The sequence below is a fragment of the Homo sapiens genome, chromosome Y (genome assembly GCF_000001405.40).
Source record: "Homo sapiens chromosome Y, GRCh38.p14 Primary Assembly".
NCBI classification, from domain to species: domain Eukaryota; kingdom Metazoa; phylum Chordata; class Mammalia; order Primates; family Hominidae; genus Homo; species Homo sapiens.
Window position 1 is genome coordinate 6,390,401 of NC_000024.10, and position 23,133 is coordinate 6,413,533.

General features: G+C 46.6%; 2 long non-coding RNA genes across 2 annotated transcripts in view; one reads left to right on the plus strand and one right to left on the minus strand.

The window, feature by feature from the left end:
* TTTY1B (testis expressed transcript, Y-linked 1B) lies at nucleotides 1–21,164 on the plus strand. Its single transcript, NR_003589.1, has 5 exons — nucleotides 1–275; nucleotides 3,700–3,859; nucleotides 10,723–10,831; nucleotides 13,188–13,325; nucleotides 20,907–21,164. It is a non-coding gene; the product is annotated as a testis expressed transcript, Y-linked 1B (long non-coding RNA).
* The window catches only part of TTTY2B (testis expressed transcript, Y-linked 2B), a 22,201-nt gene continuing 14,911 nt past the window's right edge, over nucleotides 15,844–23,133 (minus strand). The window contains exons 4-8 of the long non-coding RNA NR_003590.1: nucleotides 21,823–21,971; nucleotides 20,974–21,130; nucleotides 18,065–18,143; nucleotides 17,747–17,944; nucleotides 15,844–16,523 (exon numbers count right to left, since the gene is read on the minus strand). This is a non-coding gene — a long non-coding RNA (testis expressed transcript, Y-linked 2B). The remainder of the gene's footprint in view (nucleotides 16,524–17,746; nucleotides 17,945–18,064; nucleotides 18,144–20,973; nucleotides 21,131–21,822; nucleotides 21,972–23,133) is intronic.

A 23,133-nucleotide genomic window follows, 5' to 3' on the forward strand; every position in this document is an offset into this window, starting at 1 on the left:
ATGCCCATTCCTGTGGCAGCCTATGTTTCCTGTCTGTCAGAGCTGTCAGCCTGCTTAAGCAGAGTAAAATGGTACAGGCAGTGCAGCCTGGTAGCGAGAAAAAAGGCTGCCTGTGAAATCCCACTGTGGGACCATAAGTGGGGACCTCAGGGCCCCTTCATGGCATCTCCATGGCCATGTCATGCTGGAGAAGGAGGCGTTTCAAGAATGTGAGCTGATCGCTGGAAACTGCTCATCTGACTCCAGTCTCAAAAGAGGCTATGTGCAAGAATCGGGTATGATGGGGATGCAAATATAGTTTGCTGTGTTGTTGAGGGTTATTTGGATGATAGAATCATACCTGAGACCCCAGAAGCTGGGGTCAGTGAAAGATAGTTGGGCCCTTGACCTCACTTCCTCCCTTCATTTTGGGCCTCACAGGGGCTCTCTGGGAAAGTCTGGACCTAAGACAAAGGCAAGTCCAAGGTGGAGCACTGTTCTCACACCTTGGACTGACCACTCATGGGTGCAGATGAGGTTGAGACAGTGTGTCAAAGGCCATTTATGGCATGGCAAGGATAAAAAGTTGTGTCAGTACTGCTGTTTAGGGGTACTGTAGATTCCCCATGAAAGCAAAGAAAAATAAAACCTCATCTCTCTAGAATGAGCTGCCTTGTGCTGGAGTCCAAGCAATGTTCAATGATTCCTGTCAGAGGATCCAAATGCCTCCTGTAAAGTGGAAGGAACTTCAGCCCCCCAAATGAGACAATGACCCAGAACCTGGAGTGCAGCCAGCCTACCTGAAGTCCCTTTTCCTCTCTGAAATCCTGGTAACTAAATTATCTGTGTAGAGAGGCAGTCCTACTGAAAAACAGCTGAATGAAAGAGCCCCTCCACAATAAGGAAACCAGGCAGATGAAATGAAACAGAAGATAGACTACCAGACAAAAGCCAGACATGAATGCCTGCTTCTCACCCTGCAGAAGTCATGCAGCCCTTTGATAGGAGTGGGAGAGGAAGAGTTTGCTTTTTGGTGGCTGTAACAGGAATTTACTGTTTTAAAAGTATCAAAGCAGCTCAGTCATTAAAACGTGATGGTGTTTAGAAGGAAACACTCACACAGTGGATCACCGTGAGGGTTGTTCTTTGTGAACTGGGAAATGTTCTGTGTTGGAAGTCATTGAACCAGACCCAGGAAACTGTAGGCCAGTGAGGAACATGGAAGTCAGGAAAAGATGAGGCAAGTGTGGAGGCCACATTCCACCTAGCATGAATTTATTCCACTTCCATTTTGTTCCGGGTATGAAAGCCCTCAAATCGGAAGTTTGCCAGGATGGCCCCAGCTTGTACACTCACCTGAACACTGAGCCATGGTGTGGACTGCTTCTTCAACTAAGGGAATGTGGGGATGGTGTTGGAAGTACCTTCTGAGTCACCTGTCTTCAGGTGACAACCTTCACCTGATTGAATTCTCACCCCTATCCGATGTTATGGCTGCTTATACTCTGTGTCCCAAAATAAAATCCCAAAATGATGGAGGAGTGCCCCCTCAGGACGTGAAGCACTTGCTAAGCTGGGGACTGAATTTCAGGTAAATTGAAGGGGCCCTGAAAACAAGACTGCTACTGTCTCTGTCTGGGTTGGCCACATAACAATGAAACACTAAAGATATCTATGTTTTTGTGTGGTGTGCTCCTCTTGTTTCTAGAAGAATGGCTTTGTGCTTTGTAGGGGGAGATTATTTGGACATGGGTGGGTTATGGCCTGCCTCTCAATTCACTGAGACTTATGATGTGGCTCAAGCAGAGCCAAAAGGGTTGGAGACTCAAAAAACTAGCCCTGAATTGTGTTAGCCACATTCATTTAAGCACTCTCCACTTACAGACACACACACACAAACACACACACACACAAAATGCCACACACATGCAGGCCTCCAACACTCACAACACTCCAACAGAAACACACAGGCTGGCAGCTCCTGAGGCTTCGTGGTTGTGCAAGAAACTTACCCTGGCAGAGAGCAACCCCAGGGCATACTGGCAGGCTTTACCTGGGAAGCACGGTGGGGCAAGTTTCAGAAAGACTAACCAATACAGCATCTAGCCAGTCCTAAAAAATCCTGCAGTTCCTTTTGGATCCTTAGCAATTTTGTGGTTTATTCCTGGGGCTATGCCTGATGTTTCTTTAGGCTGGTTCATGTCTGCCCTCTCCTAGGATCGTGGGACTATCCCGAGGCTTCCACAGGGAATAAAAGTGAGAGTCCACTGCTGATGCACCTCCACAAAGGTATCCTCCTCAGCCAAGTCACAGGGACTTGTCGCTGGGCAAATGTGACATTCATTGTGACTCTAACCAGAGCTCAGATCTAAGCCCTAGTGTCCTGAGACTAGCATTAAAATTCTCTACCTTAGAACCCCTTTGGGATGTCTGCATCTTTGGGTACCACTGGAGGAGGACGCGTTTCAAGACTGTGAGGTGGTTGCTTAGGAGAGCTCTTCTGACTCCATTCCTGAAAGAGCCTTTGTGCAAGAATCAGGACCCATCTAAATTGGAATATAGTCTGGTGAGTTGTTAAAGGATTTTTGTGTAATGGAATTATACCTGAGACACCAAAAATGAGTGTCAGTAAAATATAGCCAGTCCCTTGATCTCATTGCTTCCCTTCATCATGGTCCTCACAGGGGCTCTCTGCAAAAGGCAGGAAACATGAAAAAGGTAGGTCCAATATCAAGAAGTTCTTACACCGAACTGGAGTGTCATGGGTGCAGTTGATACTGTGAAATTGTCTCAGAGGCCGTTTTTGGCAATTGCAAGCCTGAAAATGGTGGCCAGTATTTCTGCTGAGGGGCAATGTGGGCCCAGCATGAAAGCAAAGAAAAATCAAGGCTCACCTGTGAGAATGAGTGGACTTGTCCTGGATTTCCAGAAATGTTCAAAGATTTCTGCCAGAGGAACCAAAAGCCTCCCACAAAGTGCAAACAACCTCAGATTTTACAACAAGCCCATGACACAAAACCTGGAACACCACCAGCCGACCAAAGTCTTTTTGCTCCCTGAAATTCTGCTTGCCAAAAGAACCATTGTGAGTGGCAGTCCCATACAGCAAAAGCTCAATGAAAGAGTCTGTTTACAATGAGAAAGGAAGTGCAGATGAAGTGAAACACAGCCTTGGTTACTAGGTGAATCCAAACACGGCTCCCTGCTTCTCATCCTACGGGAGTCAAGCAGCCTTCCAATAAAAGTGGGAGAACGAAAGTTTCCTTGTTGGCAGCTGTAATGGGAATTGATGCTTTAAAAATAAATACAGCTGCCCATTCATTAAAATGTGACAGTGATTAGAAGGAAACACTCATGCAATGGATTCCAATTAGTTCGACCTCCATGAAGTGGGAAAGGTTTAGTGTTGAAGATTTTGAGCCACATGCAGCATGCCATAGGCCATAGAGGAACATGGAAGACATGAAAAAAACAGGCAAGTGTGGAGGCCATATTTCACCCAGAACTAGTCCATCCCACTCCCATTTGGCTTTGCCTATGAAAGCGCTCAAATCTGGAGTTTGCCAGGATGTCCCCAGTTTGCACTCCAAATGTTCTCTGCATGTTGGAGTACTCCCACCTCAACAATGGGCCATGGTGTGGACTACTTGTGCAAATAGTGGAATGTAGGGATTCAGTTGGAAGCATCTTCTGTGTCATTTGTCTTCACCTTATTTGCAGGTGAAGTTGTGAGACCCCATCCACCCCTCACAAGATTGTATCCCCACCCTGTCTGACCTTACTGCTGCTCAAACTATCTGTCCAAGGATGAAAACCCAGGACAAAGGAGGAGTAACCCTCATGATGTGAAGCACGTGTTCACCTGTGAATATAACCTGAGGTAAATTCAAGGGTTGTTGTAGACAGGATTGCTATTGTCTCTCCCTGGGTTGGCCACATGACAATGAAAACCTGGGAGATGTCTGCTCTTGGGTGTGGTTTGACTCTCTTCTACCTAGAAGAGTTGCTTTTTTTGCAGGGCATGGTGACTTGGACAGCAGCATGTCTCGGCCAGCCTCCCAACTCACTGCAGATTCATGATTCACAAAAAAATAAAGAACATGGAGTTCTATGTCCCAAACAGAGGCGTACAGGAAGACAACAAAAGGTTGGAGACTCAACAAAATGAAGTGCTGCAGTGTGTTAGCCACATTCCTTTAAGCAGACTCCATTTACAGGCACACACACACACACACACACAAATGTACAAAGTCAAACACACAGGCAGACATCCAACACTTGCAGCACTCCCACAGAAACACACAGCCTATCAGCTCCTGAGGCAGTTTGGTTCTGCAGGAAGCCACACCTAGGAGGGAGCAACACCAAGGAACACAGGAGGGCTGTACCTATACATCACAGTGGGGCAAGTGTCAAAAGCACTCACCCCTCACTCACTCACAGGGGTGAGGATACAGTGCCTAGGCAGGCCTGAAGCATCTTGCAGACCCTTTTGGATCCTTCTGGAATTCATGGTTTATTCCTGGTGCTCTTATTGACATTATTTCAGGCTGGCTCATATTTGCCCTCTCCTAAAATCAGGAGACTATACAGTAATTCCCACAGAGAAAACAGGTGAGAGTCCACCACCGACAGCACCTGTAAAAAGGTCTTCTTCTCCGCCAACCTGCAGGAACTTGTCTCTAGGAAATGGTGGCATTCACTGTGACGCTAATCAAAACTCACAGCTCAGTCTTTGTGCCTTGAGACCAGTGCCTTCGCATTCAAGAGGCATGTTCTGGGGCCTGGCTGTCAGAGCTGTTAGCCTGACCAAAAAGAGGAACAAAGAAAAGGCACTGTGATAAACCACTGCTGGACCCAAAAAGTCTAGGCCATAGGGCCCTTTTGGGCAGTCTCTGAGGTCGAGTTCCACTGAAGGAGAACTCATTTTGAGACTGTGAAGTGGTCGCTGCAATCAGATACTCTGCCTCCATTCTGGAAAGAGGCTGTGTGCAAGAGGCAGTTCCTATGGGGATTGTAATACAGTCTGGTGAGTTACCGGGCCTCACAGGGGCTCTCGGGAAAAGGTAAGAACCACGACAAAAGAAAGTCCAAGATAAAGCATTGTTCTCACACCTTAAACTGGCTGTTCTCACACCTTAAAATGGGTGCAGGTGAGGTGGAAACAGTTTCTCAGTGGCTGTCTGTGGTGAAAGCAAGCCAGAAAAGGGTGTCCAGTAGTGCTGATGAGGGGCAATGTGGAACCCTCATGAAAGCAAAGAAAAATGAAGGCTCATCTGAGCAAATAAGCTGACTTGTGCAGGAGTCCAAATAATGTTCAAAGATTTTTGTCAGAGGACCCAAAAGCCTCCTACAAAGAGCAAACAACATCAGCCTCCACAAGGAGAAAAAGACCCAAAATCTGGAGTATAGCCAGCATACGCAAAGTCCTATAGGCTTCCTGAAGTTCCTGGCAGCCAAAAGATCTGTAGGGAGGAGGCAGTCCCATCCAGCAAAAGCCAATGAAATATCCACTCCACAGAGAGAAAGGACTTGCAGATGAAGTGAAACAGAGCTAAGATTACCAGGCAAATGCAGACATGGCTGCCTGCTTCTCATCCTAAAGGAATCATGCAGTCTTCCAATAAAAGTGGGAAAACAAGAGTTTCTATGTTGGTGGATGTAATGGGAATTTATGCTTTTAAAAGTATCACAGCTGCCCAGTCATTAAAATGTGGCAGAGTTTAGAAAGAATCCCTCATGTAATGAATTCCCAAGAGAGTCATCCTCTGTGAACTGGGAAACTTTTAGTGTGGAATACGTGTAGCCATACCCAGGAAAACTTAGGCCAAAGAAGATCATGAAAGTCAGGAAAAGAAGAGGCAAGTGTGGCAGCCACATTCCATCCAGCATCAATCCATCACCCTCTCCTTTGCCTTTGGGTATGAAAGCCCTCACATTGGGAGTTTGCCAGGATGGCCCCAGTGTGTACTCAAAATTTTCCCCATACATTGGAGTACTTCCACCTGAACACCAGGCTGTTTAGCTGGAAACAATCTCTGTGTCGTCTGTCATCCTTTTTCTTTTTTTTTTTTTTTTACAGGTGCAGTTGGGGTATCCCATGCACCTCCCCAGATTTCATCTTTACTCCTATCTGACATCATTGCTGTTGACACTCTATGCACCAGGATGAAATCCAAAGATGATATTTGAGAGCCCCCCGACCTAAGACATGAATTATTGGCTTGGCTGGGAATCGAATTCAAGGTGAATTCAATGTGCCCTGTGCACAGGACTGCTAGCATCTCTCCCTGGGTTGGCTGCAAGACAATGAAACACTGAGATGTCTCATTTTTGGTGTGGTGTGCTCCTTTTCTTTCTAGAAGAGTGGCTTTTCTCACACACACAATGCCACACACACACTCAGACATCCAACATTCACAACACTCCCACAGAAACATACAAACCAGTTACTACTCAGACTGTGCTGTTGTGCAGGTAGCACCAACTGGGTCTGCAGGTAGCCCAAGCAGACCCACACAGAAAAGCCACCAAAAGGTTGGGAGATGTACATACAGCAAACACTGAAGTGCATTAGCAATATTCCTTAGGCAGACTGCACTTACAGTCTCTCACACACACACACATACAAACACACAATGCCACCCACATGCATGTAGACATCCAACACTCACAGCACTCCACCAGAAAGGTTGGCAGACTAAAGAAGAAGTGCTGAAGTGTGTTAGGCACATTATTTTAAGCACACTCCACTTACAGACACATAAACACGCACATACACAAACACACAATGCTACACACACACACACAGCCATCCATCACATGCAAGACTCTCATAGAAAAGCAAAGACTGGCAGCCCCTGAGGCAGTGTTGTTCGGAAGGAATCCCAACCTGGGAGACAGCAACCCCAAGAAACACAAGGGAACTGTACCTAGAAATCACGGTGGTGCAAGTTTGAAAGAGACTCAACCCTACAAACTTCTGGGTAGTCCTGAGAAATCCTGTATATCCTTTTGCATCCTAAGGGATTCTGCAGTTTATTCCTGGAGGTGTACTTGACTTTTCTTCAGGCTGGCTCATGCCTGCCCTTTTCTAGGATCATGGGACAATCCCATGAACACCACAGAGAAGTCAGGTGAGAGTCCACGGCCGATGCATCTCCAAGGAGGTCTCCTCTGCCAAGCCACAGGGCATTGTCACAAGGCAGCAGTGACATTCATTGTGATGCTAGCCAGCACTCACACTCAGGCCTGGTGCTCTGAGACTAGCACATGTGCATTTCTGAGGCAGGCTCAGGCACTCATCAGAGCTGTCAGCCTGCCTAAGCAGAGGAAAATGGTACAGGCAGAGCCTGCCTGGTATAGGGAAAAATGCTGCCTGCAATAACCCACCACTGGACATAAAAATATAGATGACAGGGCCCTTTCAGGCAGTCTCCAAGGTTGGGTTCTGCAGAAGGAGAAGTCACTTTGAGACTGTGAAAGGGTCGCTGCAATCTGCACCTCTGCCTCCATTCCCAAAAGAAGATGTGTGCAAGAGTTAATTCCCATGGGGATTGAAATACCATCTGGTGAGTTTTTGAGGCATCTCTGGGTGATGGAATCATCATTGAGACCCAAGAGGTGGGTGTCAGTGAAAGATGGTTAGGCCCTTGACCTCACTGCCTCCCTTCATCCTGGGCCTCACAGGAGCTCTCTGGGAAATACAGGAACCACAACAAAAGCAAGTCCCAGATAAAGCATTGTTCTCATATCTCAAACTGGCCTTTCACAGATGCAGATGTGGTTGACAGAGTATGTCTGAGGTGGTCCATGGCAATTGCAAGACAGAAAATGGTGTCCAGTACTGCTAATGAGGGGCAATGTGGACTCCCCTTGAAAGCAAAGAAAAATGAAGGCTTATCTGAGCAAACAAGCTGACTTGTGTGGGAGTACAAGCAAAGTTCAAAGATTCCCATCAGAGGACCCAAAAGCCTCCTGCAAAGCGCAAACAACATCAGCCCCCACAAGGACACCATGATCCACATCCTGGCATGTAGCCACCATATGCAAAGTCCTTTTGGCTTCCTGAAATTCCTGGCAGTGAAAAGATCTATAGCAAGAGGCAGTCCCATCCAGCAAGAGCCAATGAAAGATCCACTCCACAGCAGGGAATGACATGCAGATGAAGTGAAACAGAGCCAAGATTAGCAGGAAAATGCAGAACACAGCTGCCTGCTTCTCCTCCTACAGGAATCATGCAGCTCTTTGATAAAAGGAGAATAAAAATTTCTGTATTGGCAGTTGTAACGGGAATTTATGCTTTTAAAAGTCTCATATTGCCCAGTCATCAAAATGTGACAGAGTCTAGGAAGAAACACTGATGCAATGGATTCACATGAGAGTGGTCCTCTGTGAACTGGGAAACTTCTAGTGTAGAAGATGTGGAACCAGACCCAGAAAACCCTAGGCCAAAAAGGAACATGAAGACACAAGTGTGGTGGCCACATCCCACCCAGCATCAATCCATCACACTTTCATGTGGCTCTGGGTATGAAAGCCCTCACATTGAGAGTTTGCCAGGATGGCCCCAATTTGTTCTCAAAATGTTCTCTGCATGTCCACCTGAACACCAGGCTATTTACTTGGAAGCAGCTTCTGTGTCATCCATCTTTATTTTATTTTTTTCAGGTGATATTGCAAAACCTTATACACCCTTCACCAGATTTTGTCCTTACTGCTATTTGACTTTATTCCTGCTCATACTGTATGTTCCAGGATGAAATCAAAAGATGATGGAGAAGTGCCCCCCGCCACAAGATGTGAATCACTTGCTCAGCTGGGAACTGAATTCAAGATTAATTCAAAGTGCCCAGTGGACAGGACTGCCAGTGTCTATGCCTGGGTTGGCCTCATGACAATGACACACTAGGAGATACCTCTTTTTGGCATGGTGTGCTCCTCTTCTTTTTAGAAGAGTGGCTTTTTTTGAACACACAATGCCACACACACGCTCAGACATCCTACACTCAAAATACTCCCACAGAAATACACAGCCCAGCAGCTACTGAGGCTGCATTGTTGTGCAGGAAGCACTACCTGGAGAAAGTCCCACATCCCAAGCAGAGAAACACAGGCCACCAAAATGTTGGAAGACTCAAAAACAGAAAGCACTGAAGTGCATAAGTAATATTCCTTTAAGCAGACTCCATTTATAGTCACACACACACACACAATGCCACACAAAGATGCAGACATCCAACACTCGAAATCCTCCACCAGAAAGGTTGGGAGACTAAAAAAAAAAAAAAAAAAAGAGAAAGACAAAGGGCTGAAGTGGGTTAGCCACATAATTTCAAGCACACTCCACTGACAGGTGCACACACACACCCAATGCCACACACAGATGCAGACATCCAACACTCGCAACACTCCCACAGGAAAACACAGCTCAGCAGCTCCAGAGGCTATGTGATTCTGCAGGAATCCCAACCTGGGAGAGAGCAAGCACAAGAAACCCTGGTTGGCTACACCTAGAAATCACAGTTAGGCAAGTTTCAAAAGACTCATGCTTACAACATCTAGGGTGGCCTGAAAAATCCTGCAGAGGTTTTTGCCTGTGTGTAAGCAAGGTGGCATCCTAAGCAGAGAAAAATGGTACAGGCAGAGTAGGCCTGTTTTTAATAAAAAGGCAGTGTGTGAAAACCCACTGTGGGACCCTAAATGTCTCGACCTGAAGGCCCCTTTGGGCTGTCTCCATGGTCAGGTCCCACTGCCGGAGGAAATATTTTGAGATAGTAACCTGTTCGCTGGAAACTGCCCTTCTGACTCCATTTTTGAAACAGGCTGTGAGCCATAATCTGGTCCCATAAGAATTGGAATATAATCTGTTGTGTTGTTGAGGGTTGTTTGGGTGACAGAATCATACCTGAGAACTTAGAGGTGGGTGTCAGTGAAAGAAGGTTGGGCTCTTGACCTCACTGCATCCCTTCATCCTGGGTCTCTCAGAAGCTCTCTGGGGAAGGTAGAAACCACAACAGTGGCAAATCCAATGTAGAGGAGTGTTCTCATACCTTGGACTGGTCTTTCACTGTGCAGTTGAGGTTATTCTTACACCTCAGACTGGCCTTGGACTGTGCAGATAAGGTTGAGACAGTGAAACACTGCGAGATGTCTGTTTCTGGTGTGGTGTGCTCCTCTTCTTTCTAGAAGAGTGGCTTTTTTTGTGGGGGGAGTTGATTTGGACAATTGTGTGTCTTGGCCCACCTCCCAATGCAATGCAGATTCATGATCCACAGAAAAATAAAGAACATGGAGCCCCAAAGCACAAGCAGAGCAACAGGCAGGCCAACAAAGATTGAAACATACAAAAAAAAAAAAAAAAGCAGCAGCACTGAAGTGCGTTAGCCATATTATTTAAGCAGACTCCACTTACAGCCACAAACACATTCTCAAACACGCAATGACACACACACACACATATCCAACAGTTGCAACACTCCCACAGAAGAACATAGCCCAGCAGCACCCGAGGCTGCATAGCTCTGCAGGAATTCCCACCTGGGAGAGAGCAATCCCAGGGAACATAGACAGGCTGTACCTAGAAACCACAGTGGGGCAAGTTTCAAAAAGACTCACCCCTACAATATCTAGGCAGGCCTACAAAATCTTGCAGATCTTTTTGGATGTTTAAGGATTTTGCGGTTTATTTCTGTAGCTAAGCTTGATGTTCCTTCACGCTGGCTAACGTCTGCCCTCTCCTAGGATCATGAGACTATCTGTGGATTTCACAGAGAAGACAGACGAGAAGACACCGCTGACACTTCTCCACGGAGGTCTCCTTTTCCACCAAGATGCAGATGCTTCTTGCAAGGCAATGGTGACATTTATTGTGATGCTAGACAGAGCTCACAATCAGACCAGGTGCGCTGAGACTAGCGCAAGTGCATTTGTGAGGCAGACTCAAGTCAGGTTGTCAGAGCTGTCAGCCTGCCTCTGCAGTGGATAATGGTACAGGCAGAGCTGGCTTGGTATTGGGAAAAAGGCTGACTATAAAAACCCGCTGCAGGACCCTGAAAGTCTTGACCTCAGGGACCCTGCTAGCCATTTCCTTGTTCAGGTCGCGCTGGAGGAAGAGGTGTTTCGCGACTGTGAGGTGGTCGCTGGAAACTGCTCTTCTAACTCCATTAGCGAAAGAGGGTGTGTGCAATAATTGGGTCCCAAGGGGATTGGAATATAATCTGGTGTGTCGTTGAGTGTTCTTTGGGTGACAGAAACATACCTGAGACACCAGAAGTGGATGTCAGCAAAAGATGATTGGGCTTTTGAACTCAATGGCTCCCTTCATTCTGAGCCTTGCAGGGGCTATCTATGAAAGGCAAGAACCATGACAAAGGCAAGTCTAATGTGGAGCAGTGTTCTCACATCTTGGAATGGCCTCTCACTTGTGCAGATGTAGTTGAGACAGTGTCTCAGAGGCCATCTGTGGTGATGGCAAGCTTGAAAATGGTGTGCAGTGCTGCTGTTGGGGGGCACTATGGATTCCCCAAGAAAACAAAGAAAAACCAAGGTTCACCTAAGAATGAGCTGCCTTTGCTGGAGTCCAGGCAATGTTCAAGATTCCTGTCAGAAACCAAAAGCCTCCTGCAAAGTGCAAACAACTGCAGCCTCTACGATGAGACAATGATCCACAATATGGAGTGCAGCCAGTTTATCAAAGTCCCTTTTACTCTCTGAAATCCCTGGCAGCAAAATAATCTGTGGCAAGTGGCAGTCCTAGCCAGCAATAGCCCAGTGAAAGGGCCCCTCCACAATGAGAAGTCCATGCAGATGAGATGAAACAGGGGCTAGATTATCAGGCTAAAGCCAGACGTGGCTGCCTCCTTCTCATCCTAGAGTAAACATGCAACCCTGTGATAGAAGTGGGAAAAAAAACAGATTCCTTGTTGGTGGGTGTAACAAGAATTTACCGTTTTAAAACTATCAAAGCTTCCCAGTCTTTAAAAGGTGACAATGTTTAGAAGGAAACACTCATGCAATGGATTCCCAGGAGGGTTGTTCTCTATGAATTGGGAAACATTTAGTGTGGAAGTCATTGAGCCAGAAAGAGGAAACCCTAGGTTGATGAAAAACATAGAAGTCAGGGGGAAAAAGGCAAGTACGGAGGCCACATCCAACCCAGCATCAATCAATACTCCTCCCATTTGGCTCATGTATGAAGGCTCTTAAATTGGGAGTTTGCAAAAATGGCCCCAATTTGCCCTCCAAATATTCCTTGCAGATTAAAGTACTCCCACCAGAACACCGAGCCATGGTGTGGACTGCTTGTGCAATTAAGGGGATGCAGAGATGAAGTTGGAAGCACTTTCTGTGTTATCTGTCTTTATGTTTTGCTGGTGAAGTTGGGAGACCACTTTCACCCCTCACCAGATTGTATCCTCACCCCATCTGACCTTATTTCTGCTCACAATCTATGTCCCCGAATGAAATCCAAGATGATGGACAAGATCTTCCTCATGACATGAAGCATCTGCTCAGCTGGAGACTGAATTTGATGTAAATTCAAGGGGCCATGCACACAGGTCTGTGAGTGTCACTTTCTGGTTTGGACTCAGGTCAATAAAACACTGGGAGATCTCTTTTTTTTGGTGTGGTATGCTCATCTTCTTTCTAGAAGAGTGGCTTTTGTTGCAGGGGAGGTGATTTGGATGCTTGTGTGTCTCGGCCCACCTCCCAATTCACTGCAGATTCATGATCCACAGACAAATAAAGAACATGAATCCCGGCAACCCAAGCCGAGCCACACAGACAGGCCACTATAAGGATAAGAGACTCAAAAATAAAAGAAATGCTGCAGTGCATTAGCCACATTCCTTTAAGCAGACTCCACTTACAGGCACGCAAACACACACACAAATACACAATGCCACACCTACCCACAAAGACAACCAACACTTGCAACATTCCCACGGAAACTCACTGCCTGGCAGCTACTGAGGCTGTGTGGCTCATCAGAAATCCCCACCTGGGAGAGAGCAACCCCGGGTAACACATGCATGTTGTACCTAGAAATCACATTGGGACAGGTTTCTAAAAGACTCACCCCTACAACCTCTAGGCAGGCCTGAGGAATCCTTCCAAATCCTTTTGGATCCCTAGGCAGTTTGCCATTTATTCCTGGGGCTCTTCTTGACCTTTCCTCAGTCTGGCTCTCATCTGCCCTTTTCTAGGACTATCCTGTGAATCCCACAGAGAAGACAGGTGTGGTTCCAATGCCGGTGCACCTCCAGGGAATTCTCCTTTTCTACCAAGCTCCAGGCCTTCTGCCATGATCATGAGACTATTTGTGGATTTCACAGAGAAGATAGGTGAGAGTGTACCACTGACACACCTCCACAGAGGTCTCCGTCTCCAGCAAGAGGCAGGGACTTGTCACTAGGCAATGGTGACCTTTTTTGTAACTTTTGCCGAAGCTCACAATCAGCCCTGATACCTTGAGACTAGCACATGTGCATTCATGAGGGTGGCTCAGGCGCCTGACTGTTGGAGCTGTCAGCTTGCCTAAGCAGAGGAAAATAGTACAAGCAGAGATGGCCTGGTATCAGGACAAAGTCTGCCTGCGAAAACCAACGGCTGGACTGTAAAATTTGCAAAGTCAGGGCCCCTTCAGTTCATCTCCATGATTGGTTCCCGCTGGAGAAGAAGGCATTTCAAGATGGTGACATGGTCTCTGGAAACTGCTCTTCAGACTCCATTTCTGAAAAAGTCTATGTGCAAGTATCGGGTTTCATGGGGATTGGAGTATAGTCTGGTGAGTTGTTGAGGATTCTTTGGGTGATACAATCATACCTGAGACCCCAAAGGTGGGTGTCAGAGAAAGATGGCCGGTCTCTTGGCCTCACTGCCTCCCTTTATTTTGGACCTCGCAGGAGCTCTCTGGGAAAGGCAGCAACCTCAAAAAGGCAAGTCCAAGAAGGAGCAGTGTTCTCACATCGTGGACTGTCTTCTCACAGGTGCAGATGAGGTTGAGACAGTGTCTCCAAGGCTGTCTGTGGCCATGGCAAACCTGAAAAGTGTCAAGTACTGCTGTTGATGGGCACTATGCATACCTTATGAAAGCAAAGAAAAATCAATGCTCACCTGAAAGAACAATCTGCCTTGTGCTGCAGTCCAAGCAATGTTCAAAGATTCCTGTCAGAGGACCGAAAAGCCTCCTGTAAAGTGCAAACAACCTCAGCCCCCACGTTGACACCATGGCTCACAACCTGGATTTTGGTGAGCCTACCCAAAGTGTCTTTTGCTCCCTGAAATCCCTGGCAGCCAAAAGATCTGTGATGAGAGGTAGTACCATCCAGCAACAGTCCAGTGAAAGATCCCTTCCACAATGAGAAACGACATGCAGATGAAATGGAACAGTGCCTAGAATGTCAGCCAAAAGTGAGATATGACTGCCTGCTTCTCACCCCAGAGATCTTGCAGCCCCTGATAGAAGTGGTAGAACAAGAGTTTCCTTAATGGCAGCTGTAACAGGAAATCATGGTTTTAAAAGTATCACAGCTGCCAAGTAATTAAAATGTGACATTGTTAATATGAAATACGCACACAATGGATTCTCATAAGGGTCATAATCACTGTATGGGGAAATGTTTAGTGTCGAAGACGTTGAGCCAGACCCAGGAAACCCTAGGCTGATGAGGAGCATGGAAGTCAGGAAAAAAAGAGGCAAGTGTAGACGCCACATCCCAGCCAGGATAAATTCATGGTACTCCCATTTGGCTTTAGTATGAAAGCCCTTAAATTGGCAGTTTGCAGGATGGCTTCAGTTTGCACTCCAAATGTTCCCTGCACCTTGTAGTACTCCCACCTGAACACCGGGCCATGGTGTGGACTACTGTGTCATTAAGGGAATGCAGGGATGCAGTGTGAAGCACTTTCTGTCTTCTGTCTTCACCTTTTTTGCATGTTAAGGTGCAGGTCCTCATCCACCCCTCACCACATTGTATCTTCATCTCTCTGTGACCTTATTGCTACTGATATTCTCTGTTCCAGAATGAAATTCCAAGATGATGGAGGGGTTCTCCTTCACGATGTGAAGCACCAGCTTGGCTGGGAACTAAATTCGAGGTACATTTAAAAAGCCCTGCAGACAGGACTGCTGCTGTCTCTCCCTGGGTTGGCTGAAGGACAATAAAACACTGGGAGATGTCTGTTCTTGAGGGTGGTATGGCCTTCTTCTTTCTAGGAAAGTGGTTTTTTTTGGGAGAAGGAGGTGTTTTGTTACCTGGCGGGTCTCATCCTGCCTTAGACTTCATTGCAGATTCATAATCCATAGAAAAAGAAAGAATACAAAGCCCCGCAGCCTGAGACAATCCACTAAAAAGTTGGAAGACTTAAAAAAAAGGGGGCTGCAGTGCTTTAGCAACATTACTTTAAGCAGACTCCCCTTACAGACACCACACACACACACACACACACACATAGACACAGCCATACATACACGCAAACATCCAACACTCACAACACTCTCACAGAAACACAAAGTCTGGCAGCTTCTCAGGCTTTGTGGTCCTGCAGGAAGCCCCACCTGGGAGACAGCCACCCCAGGAACACAGGTGGGCTTTACCTAGAAATCACAGTGGGGCAAGTTTCACAATGACTCACCCCTGCAACATCTAGGCAGGCATTAGAAATTCTACACATATTTTAAATCATTAGGAATGCTTCAGTTTATTCCTGAGGCTGCCCTTGAGGTTTCTTGAGGCTGGCTTCTGTCTGCCCTCTCCTAGCATCATGGGACTGTCCCATGCATTTTACTTAGAAGACAGGTGAGAGTCCACTACCAATGCCCCTACATGGAGGTTTCCTCCCTCAATCCACAGGGACTTGTCACTAGGCAATGGCGGCATTTATTGTGACACTAGTCAGAACTCCCAAACAGGCCTTTTGCACTGAGAGTAGAGCATGCACATTTGCCAGGTAGATTCGGGCCCCTGGCTGTCAGAGTTGTCAGCCTGCCTAAGCAGAGGAAAATGATATAGACAGAGATGGCATGCTATCATGAAAAAGTCTGTCTGTGATAACCAAGTGCAGTACCGTAAAATTATTGACCATGGAGCCCCTTCACGATGACTCCATGGCTGGGAACCACTGAAGGAGGAGGCTTTTCCAAACTGAGGTGGTCTCTGAAGACTGCTCTTCTGACTCCATTCCTGAAAGAGGCTGTGTGCAAGAATCAGGTTCCATGGAGATTGGAATATAGTCTGGTGAGTTGTTGAGGGGATTTTATGTGATGGAATTATACCCGAGACCCCAGAGTCAGCTTTCAATGAATGGGGCTCGGCCCTTGACTTCATTGCCTCCTATCATCCTGGGCCTGGCAGGGGATCTATGAGAAAGGCAGGAACCACGACAAAGGCAGGTCCAAAGTCAAGCAGTATTCTTACATGTCGAACGGGTCTCTCACTCATGTAGATGATGTTGAAAAATGTTCACAGAAGGTGTCTGCGGAAATTGCAAGTCTGACAATCATGTCCACTAATGCTGTTGAGGGGCAATGTGGACCCAGCCTGAAAGGAAAGAAAAATCAAGGCTTGCTTGAGAGAAGGAGCTGGCTTGAGCTGGAGTATAAGAAACTTTCAAAGGTTCCTGTCAGAGGAACCAAAAGCCTCCTGAGAACTGCAAACAACCTCAGCTCTCACAATGAGACCACGAACCACAAGCTGGAAGGCAGCCAGCCTATGCAAAGTCATTTTTGCTTTCTGAAATCAGTGGCAGCAAAATCTGTATTTAGAGACATTCCCATCTAGCAACATTCAATGCTATATGCCCTCCACAATGAGACAAGACTTGCAGATGAAATAAAACAGAACATAGATTACCAGAAAAAAAGCTAGATACGTCTGTCTGCTTCTCATCCTACTGGAATTATGCAGCCTTTTGATAGAAATGGGAGAAGAACTGTTTCCCAAGGGCCAGACATGGTGGCTCATGCCTGTAATCCTAGAACTTTAGGAGGCTGAGGTGGGAGGATCATGAGGTCAGGAGATTGAGACCATCCTGGCTAAAATGGTGAAACCCCATCTCTACTAAAAATATAAAAAATTAGCCAGGAATGGTGGAAGGCTCCTGTAGTCCCAGATACTCGGGAGGCTGAGGCAGGAGAATGGTGTGAACCCAGAAGGCAGAGCTTGCAGTGACTGGAGATCATGCCACTGCACTGCAGCCTGGGCAACAGAATGAGACTCTGTCTAAGGAAAAAAAGAAAAAGAATTTATTTGTTGGTGGCTGTAATGGGAATTTATGGTTTTAAAAGTATCACAACAGCTCTGCCATTAAAATGTGACAGTGTTTAGAAGGAAGCACTGATGAAATACATTCCCATGAGGGTCATCCTCTGTGAACCAGGAAACGTTTATTGTGAAAGACATTTAGCCAGACCCAGGAAATTCTGGGCCAATGAAGAACACGAAAGTGAGGAAAAGAAGAGGCAAGTGTGGAGACCATATCCCACACAGCATCATTCCATCCCACTCCCCCTTGGCTCCCTGTACAAAAGCCCTCCAATAGGGAATGTGCCAGCATTGCCAAAGTTTGCACTAACATTGTTTCCTGCCACTTGGAGTAGTCACACCAGAACACAGGGCCATGGTGTGGAATCCTTTTGCAATTAAGGGAATGCTTAAATGCAGTTGGAAGCACCTTCTGTGTCATCTGTTTTTACCATTTCTGCAGGTGAAGGTGTGGGACCCCATCCACCCTTCACCAGATTGCATCCTCACCCGCATCTTACCTTATTGCTGCTCAAACTCTGTGTCCCAGAATGAAATCCCAGGATGATGGAGGATTGCCCCCTCACAACGTGAAGCAGCTGCTCAGCTGGAAACTGAATTCAAGGTTAATTCAAGGAGCTCTGCAACATGACTGGTAGTGTTGATTTTTGGGTTGACTTCAGGACAATAAAACATTCTCCAGGAATCATGCAGCTTTTCTATAGAAGTGAGAGAACAAGAGTTTCCTTGTTTGTGGCTGTTGCATGAATTTACAGTTTTAAAAGTATCACAGCTGCCCAGTCATTAAAACATGGCAGTGTTTAGGGGGAAATACTCACACAATAGAATCCCATGAGGATCATTTTCCATGAACTGGGGAATGTTGAGTTTAGAAGACGTTGAGCCAGACCAAGGAAACTACGCCAATGACGAACAAAGAAGTCAGGAAAAGATGAGGCAATTGTGGAAGCTGCATCCCACCCAGTATCAATCCATCCCACTCACATTTGGCTCTGCGTTTGAAAGCCCTCAAATTGAGAGTTTGCCAGGATGGCCCCAGTTTGCACTCCAAATGTTCCCTGTGTGTTAGAGTACTCCCACATGAAAATGGGGCCATAGTGTGGACAGCTTGTGATATTAAGGGAATACAAGGACAAGGATATAGTTGGAAATAACTTCTTTGTCATTTGTCTTCACCTTTTTTCAGGTGAAGGTGTAGGACCCCATCCACCCCTCACCAGATTGTATCCTCACCCCTATCTGACCTCACTGCTGCTCACACTCTCTGACCCAAAGTGAAACCCCAAGACAATGGATTAGTGCCTCCGTACAAGGTGAAGCACCTACTCAGGTGGGAATCAAATTTGAGGTAAATTCAAGGGGCCCTGTGAACAGTGCTACTGTCTATCACTGGGTTGGCTGCAGGATTAAAACACACTGGAAGATGTCTGTTCTTGAATGTGGTGTGCTCCTCTTCTTTGTAGAAGAGAGACTGTTTTTACAGGGAAAGGTGATTTGGACCTCTGCCAGCATCCCAATTCACAATAGATTCATTATCTACAGAAAAATAGAGAACATTGAGCCCTGCAGCCAAAACAGTGACACCAACAGGCCACCAAAATGTTAGGAGACTTGAAAAATGAAGTGCCACAGTGCGTTAGCCAGATTTTTTTTAAGCAGACTCCATGTACAGGCACACACACACAAACAAAAAAACACCGAAAGCCACACACACACAAGCAGACATCCAGCACTCCCAATGCTCCCATAGCAACACTCAGCCCTGCAGCTTCTGGGTTGTGTGGTTCTGCAGGAAGCTCCACCTGGGAGAGGGCAGCCATGGGGAAAACAGGCTCTACATAGAAATCAGAGTAGGGCAAGTTTCCAAAAGACTCACCCCTACAACGTCTAGGCAGGCCTAAGGCATTCTGCAGATATTTTTGGATCCTTAGGGATTTCAGGGCTTATTCCTGGCTCTGATTGATGTTTTTTTTTCAGTTTGGTTCACCTCTGCCCTCTCCTGGGATCATGGGACTATACTGTGAATCCCACAGAGATGGCAGGCGAAATTCCAACACCAATACCCACCCCCCGCCCCCACGAAATTCTCCTTTTCCGCCAAGCCATAGGGACTTGTCAGTAGTCAATGGTGGCATTGACTGTGACGCTAGCCATAGTGCACATCTCATGCCTGGTGCCCTGATACTAGCACATATCCCTTCATGAGGCAGGTTGTTGTGCCTGGCTCTAGGAGATGTCAGCCTGCCTAAACAGAGGAAAATGGTACAGACAGAGCTGATCTGGTGTCAGAAATAATGCTGCCTGTGATAATTCACTGTGGGACTCTAAACTTTTGAGCTTAGGGCATCTTTGGGCCATCTCTGGGTCGTTCCCTCTGGAGGAGGAGACATTTTGATACTGTGAGGTAGTCGCTGGAAAGTGCCCTTCTGACTCCATTCTTAAAAAAGGCTGTGTGCAGGAATCGTGTCCCATGGGTATTGAAATATAGTCTGGGGAATTGTTGAGAGGTCTTTGCATGATGGAATCATACCTGAGACCCCAGAGGCAGATGTCAGTGACAGACTACCAGGGCCTTGGCCTCACTGCCTCCCTTCATTTTGGGCCTCACAAGGTCTCTCTGGGAAAGGTAGGAACCACGACAAAGACAAATCCAGTGTGGAGCAGTGTTCTCACACATCGCACTGGCCTTTCATAGGTGCAGATGATGTTGGGACAGTGTCTCAAAGGTTGTCTGTGGTGATTGTAAGCCTGTAAAGAATGTCTATTAGCACTGTTGAGGAGAACTGTGGACCCCCCATGAAATGAAAGAAAAATCAAGACTCCCCTGATTGAATGAGGTTACTTGCCCTGGCATCCAGGCAATGTTCAAATATTCCTGTCAGAGAACCCAAAGCCTTCTACAAAGTGAAAACCACCTGAGCCTCCACAATGAGAAAACAACCCACAACCTGGAGTGTAGCCAGCCTACCTGAAGTTTCTATTTTTCCCTGTAATCCCTGGCAACCAATAGATATTTGGCAAGAGGCACTCCCACCCAGCTATAGCACAGTGAAAGAAACCCTCCACAATGAGAAAGGATGGGCAGATCTAATAAAACAGATCCTAGATTACCAGAAAAAGCCACACAGGGCTGCCTCCTTCTCATCCTACAGGAATCATGCAGCTCTCCGATAGAAGTGGGAGAAACAGAGTTTCCTTCTTGGCCACTGGAATGTGAATTTATTGTTTTAAAATTATCACAGCTGCCCAGACATTAAACTGAGACAGTGCTTAGAAAGAAATAATCACACAATGGATCCCCATGAGATCATCCTTGTGAAGTGGAAATGCTTGTTATGGAAAACTTAGATCCAGACCCAGGAAACCTTAGGTCGATGAGGAACATGGAAGTCAGAATGCAAAGATGAAAGTGTGGAGGCCACATGCCACCAGCATCAATCCCTCCCAGTCCCATTTGGTTCTGGGTATGAAAGCCCTCAAATATGGAGTTAGCCAACTTGGCCCCAGTTTGTACTCCAAATGTCCCCTGCACGTTGGAGTACTCCCGCGTGAACACAGGGCCATGGTATGTGCGGCTTGTGCAACTAAGAGAATGCTGGGATGCAGTTGGAAGCAACTTCTGTGTTATCTGTCTTCTTTTTTTTTTTTCTTTTTTTGCAGGTGAAGGTACAGCATGGCATCCACCCCTCACCAGAGGGGTATCCCCACCCCTATCTGACCTTATTACCTTATTGCTGTTCAAAGTCTCTATCCCAGACTGAAATCCCAAGACAATGGAGAAGTTCCCCCTGATGATGTGAAGCACCAACTCCTCTGGGAATCAAATTCGAGGTAAATTTAATAGGCCCGGTAGAGATGAATGATAGTGTCTCTCCTTGGATTGGCTGAAAGACAATTAAACACTGGTATATTTCTGTTCTTGGTTGTGGTGTTCTTCTGTTCTTTCTAGAAGAGTGGCTTTTTTGGCAAAGGAAGGTGATTTGGACAGTGGTGTTTCTCAGCCAGCTTGCCAATTCACTGCAGATTCATGATCCTCAGAAAAATAAAGAATATGGATCCCAGCAGCCCAAGTAGACCCACACATACAGGCCACTACAATGTTTGGAGACTCAAAAAAAAAAAAAGAAAAAAGAATCACTGCAGTGCATTAGCCACATTCCTTTAAGCAGACTCCACTTAACAGGCACACACACACTCAATCACACATACACACTACCACATACATGCAGATTTCCAACATTTGCAACACTCTCACAAAAACACACAGCCCAGCAGCTTCTTAGGCTTCTTGGTTCTGCAGGAAGCCCTGCCTTTGAAAGAGCAACCCCAGGGAACACAGGCAGCCTGTGCCTAGAAATTACAGTATGGTAAGTTTTAAAAAGACTCATCCCGACAAAGTCTGGGAGGCTTGAGGCATCCTGCAGATTCTTTTGGATCTGTACGGATTTTGTGGCTTATTCCTGGGGCTGTGCTTGACTTTTCTTCAGGCTGACTCACCTGCTCCCTCTCCTTAGGCCCATGGGACTATCGTGGGAATCCCACAGGGAAGATAGGCGAGAGTCCACCGCTGACTCACCTCCACGGAGTTCTTATCCACAAAGTCACAGGGACTTATCCCTAGGCAATGGTGGCCTTCATTGTGATGCTAGCTGGAGCCCATAGCTCAGTCCTTGTGTCTAAGAGTATGCAGGCTTTCGTGATGGGCTGTCAGACCTGTCAGCCAGCCTAAAAAAAAAAGAAAAAAAAAGATACAGGAAGAGCCGGCACGGTATTGAAAAAAATGCTGCCTACAATAACTCAATGAGGGACCATAAATGTCTCAACTGTAGTGCCTCTACAAGTCATTCCTGTGGCCAGGTCCCACTGGAGAAGGAGGTGATTCGAGACTACGAGGTGGTCTTTGGAAAGTGTTACTCTGATTCCATTCCTGAAAGGCTGTGTGCAAGAGTCTGGACAGATGGAGGTTAGAATATATTCTGGTGAGTTGTTGAGGGCTCTTTGGGTGGTGGAATCATACCTGAGAGACCAGAGGTGGGTGTCATCAAAAGATGGCTGGGCTCTTGACCTCACTGCCTCCCTTCATGCTGGGCCTTGCAGAGGCCCTCTGGGAAAGGAAGGAACCACGAAAAAAGCAAGTCCAAGGCAGAGCAGTGTTCTCTGACCTCGAGCTGACCCCTAACGGATTCAGATGAGGTTGAGACAGTGTCTCAGAGCCCGTCTGTGATGAATGCAAGCCTAAAAAGGGTTTCCAGTAATGCTGTTGAGGGGCACTGTGGACCCAAGATGAAAGCAAAGAAAATTCAAGGCCTGCCTGAGAGAACCACCTGACTTGTGCTGGAGTCCAAGTAACATTCAAAGATTTCTGTCACAGGACCCTAAATCCTCCTGCAAATTGCAAACAGCCTCAGCTGCAACAATGAGACCATGACCCACAAGCTGGAGCTCAGCCAGCCTGCCTAAATTCCCTTTTGCTTTCAGAAATCCCTGGCAGCCAAAAGATTTGTGGTGAGTGGCACCCCCATCCAGAAACAGCCCAATGAAAGATCCCCTCCACAATAAGAAAGGACATATAGATGAAATGAAATAGAGTCTAGATTTCCAGGCAAAAGACAGAAATGCCTGCCTGTTTCTCATCCTAGAGAAACTGTGTAGCCCTCTGATAGAAGTGGGAGAACAAGAGTTTCCTTGTTGGTGGCTGCAACGGGAATTTACAGTTCTAAAAGTATCACAACTCTCCAGTCATTAAAACGTGACAGTGTTTAGAAGGAAACATTCACTCAATGAATTCCCATGAGGGTCGTCCTCCATGAACTGGGAACATTTAGTTTGGAAGAAATTGAGCCAGACCAAGGAAACCCTATGCTGAAAAGGAACACGGAAGTCAAGA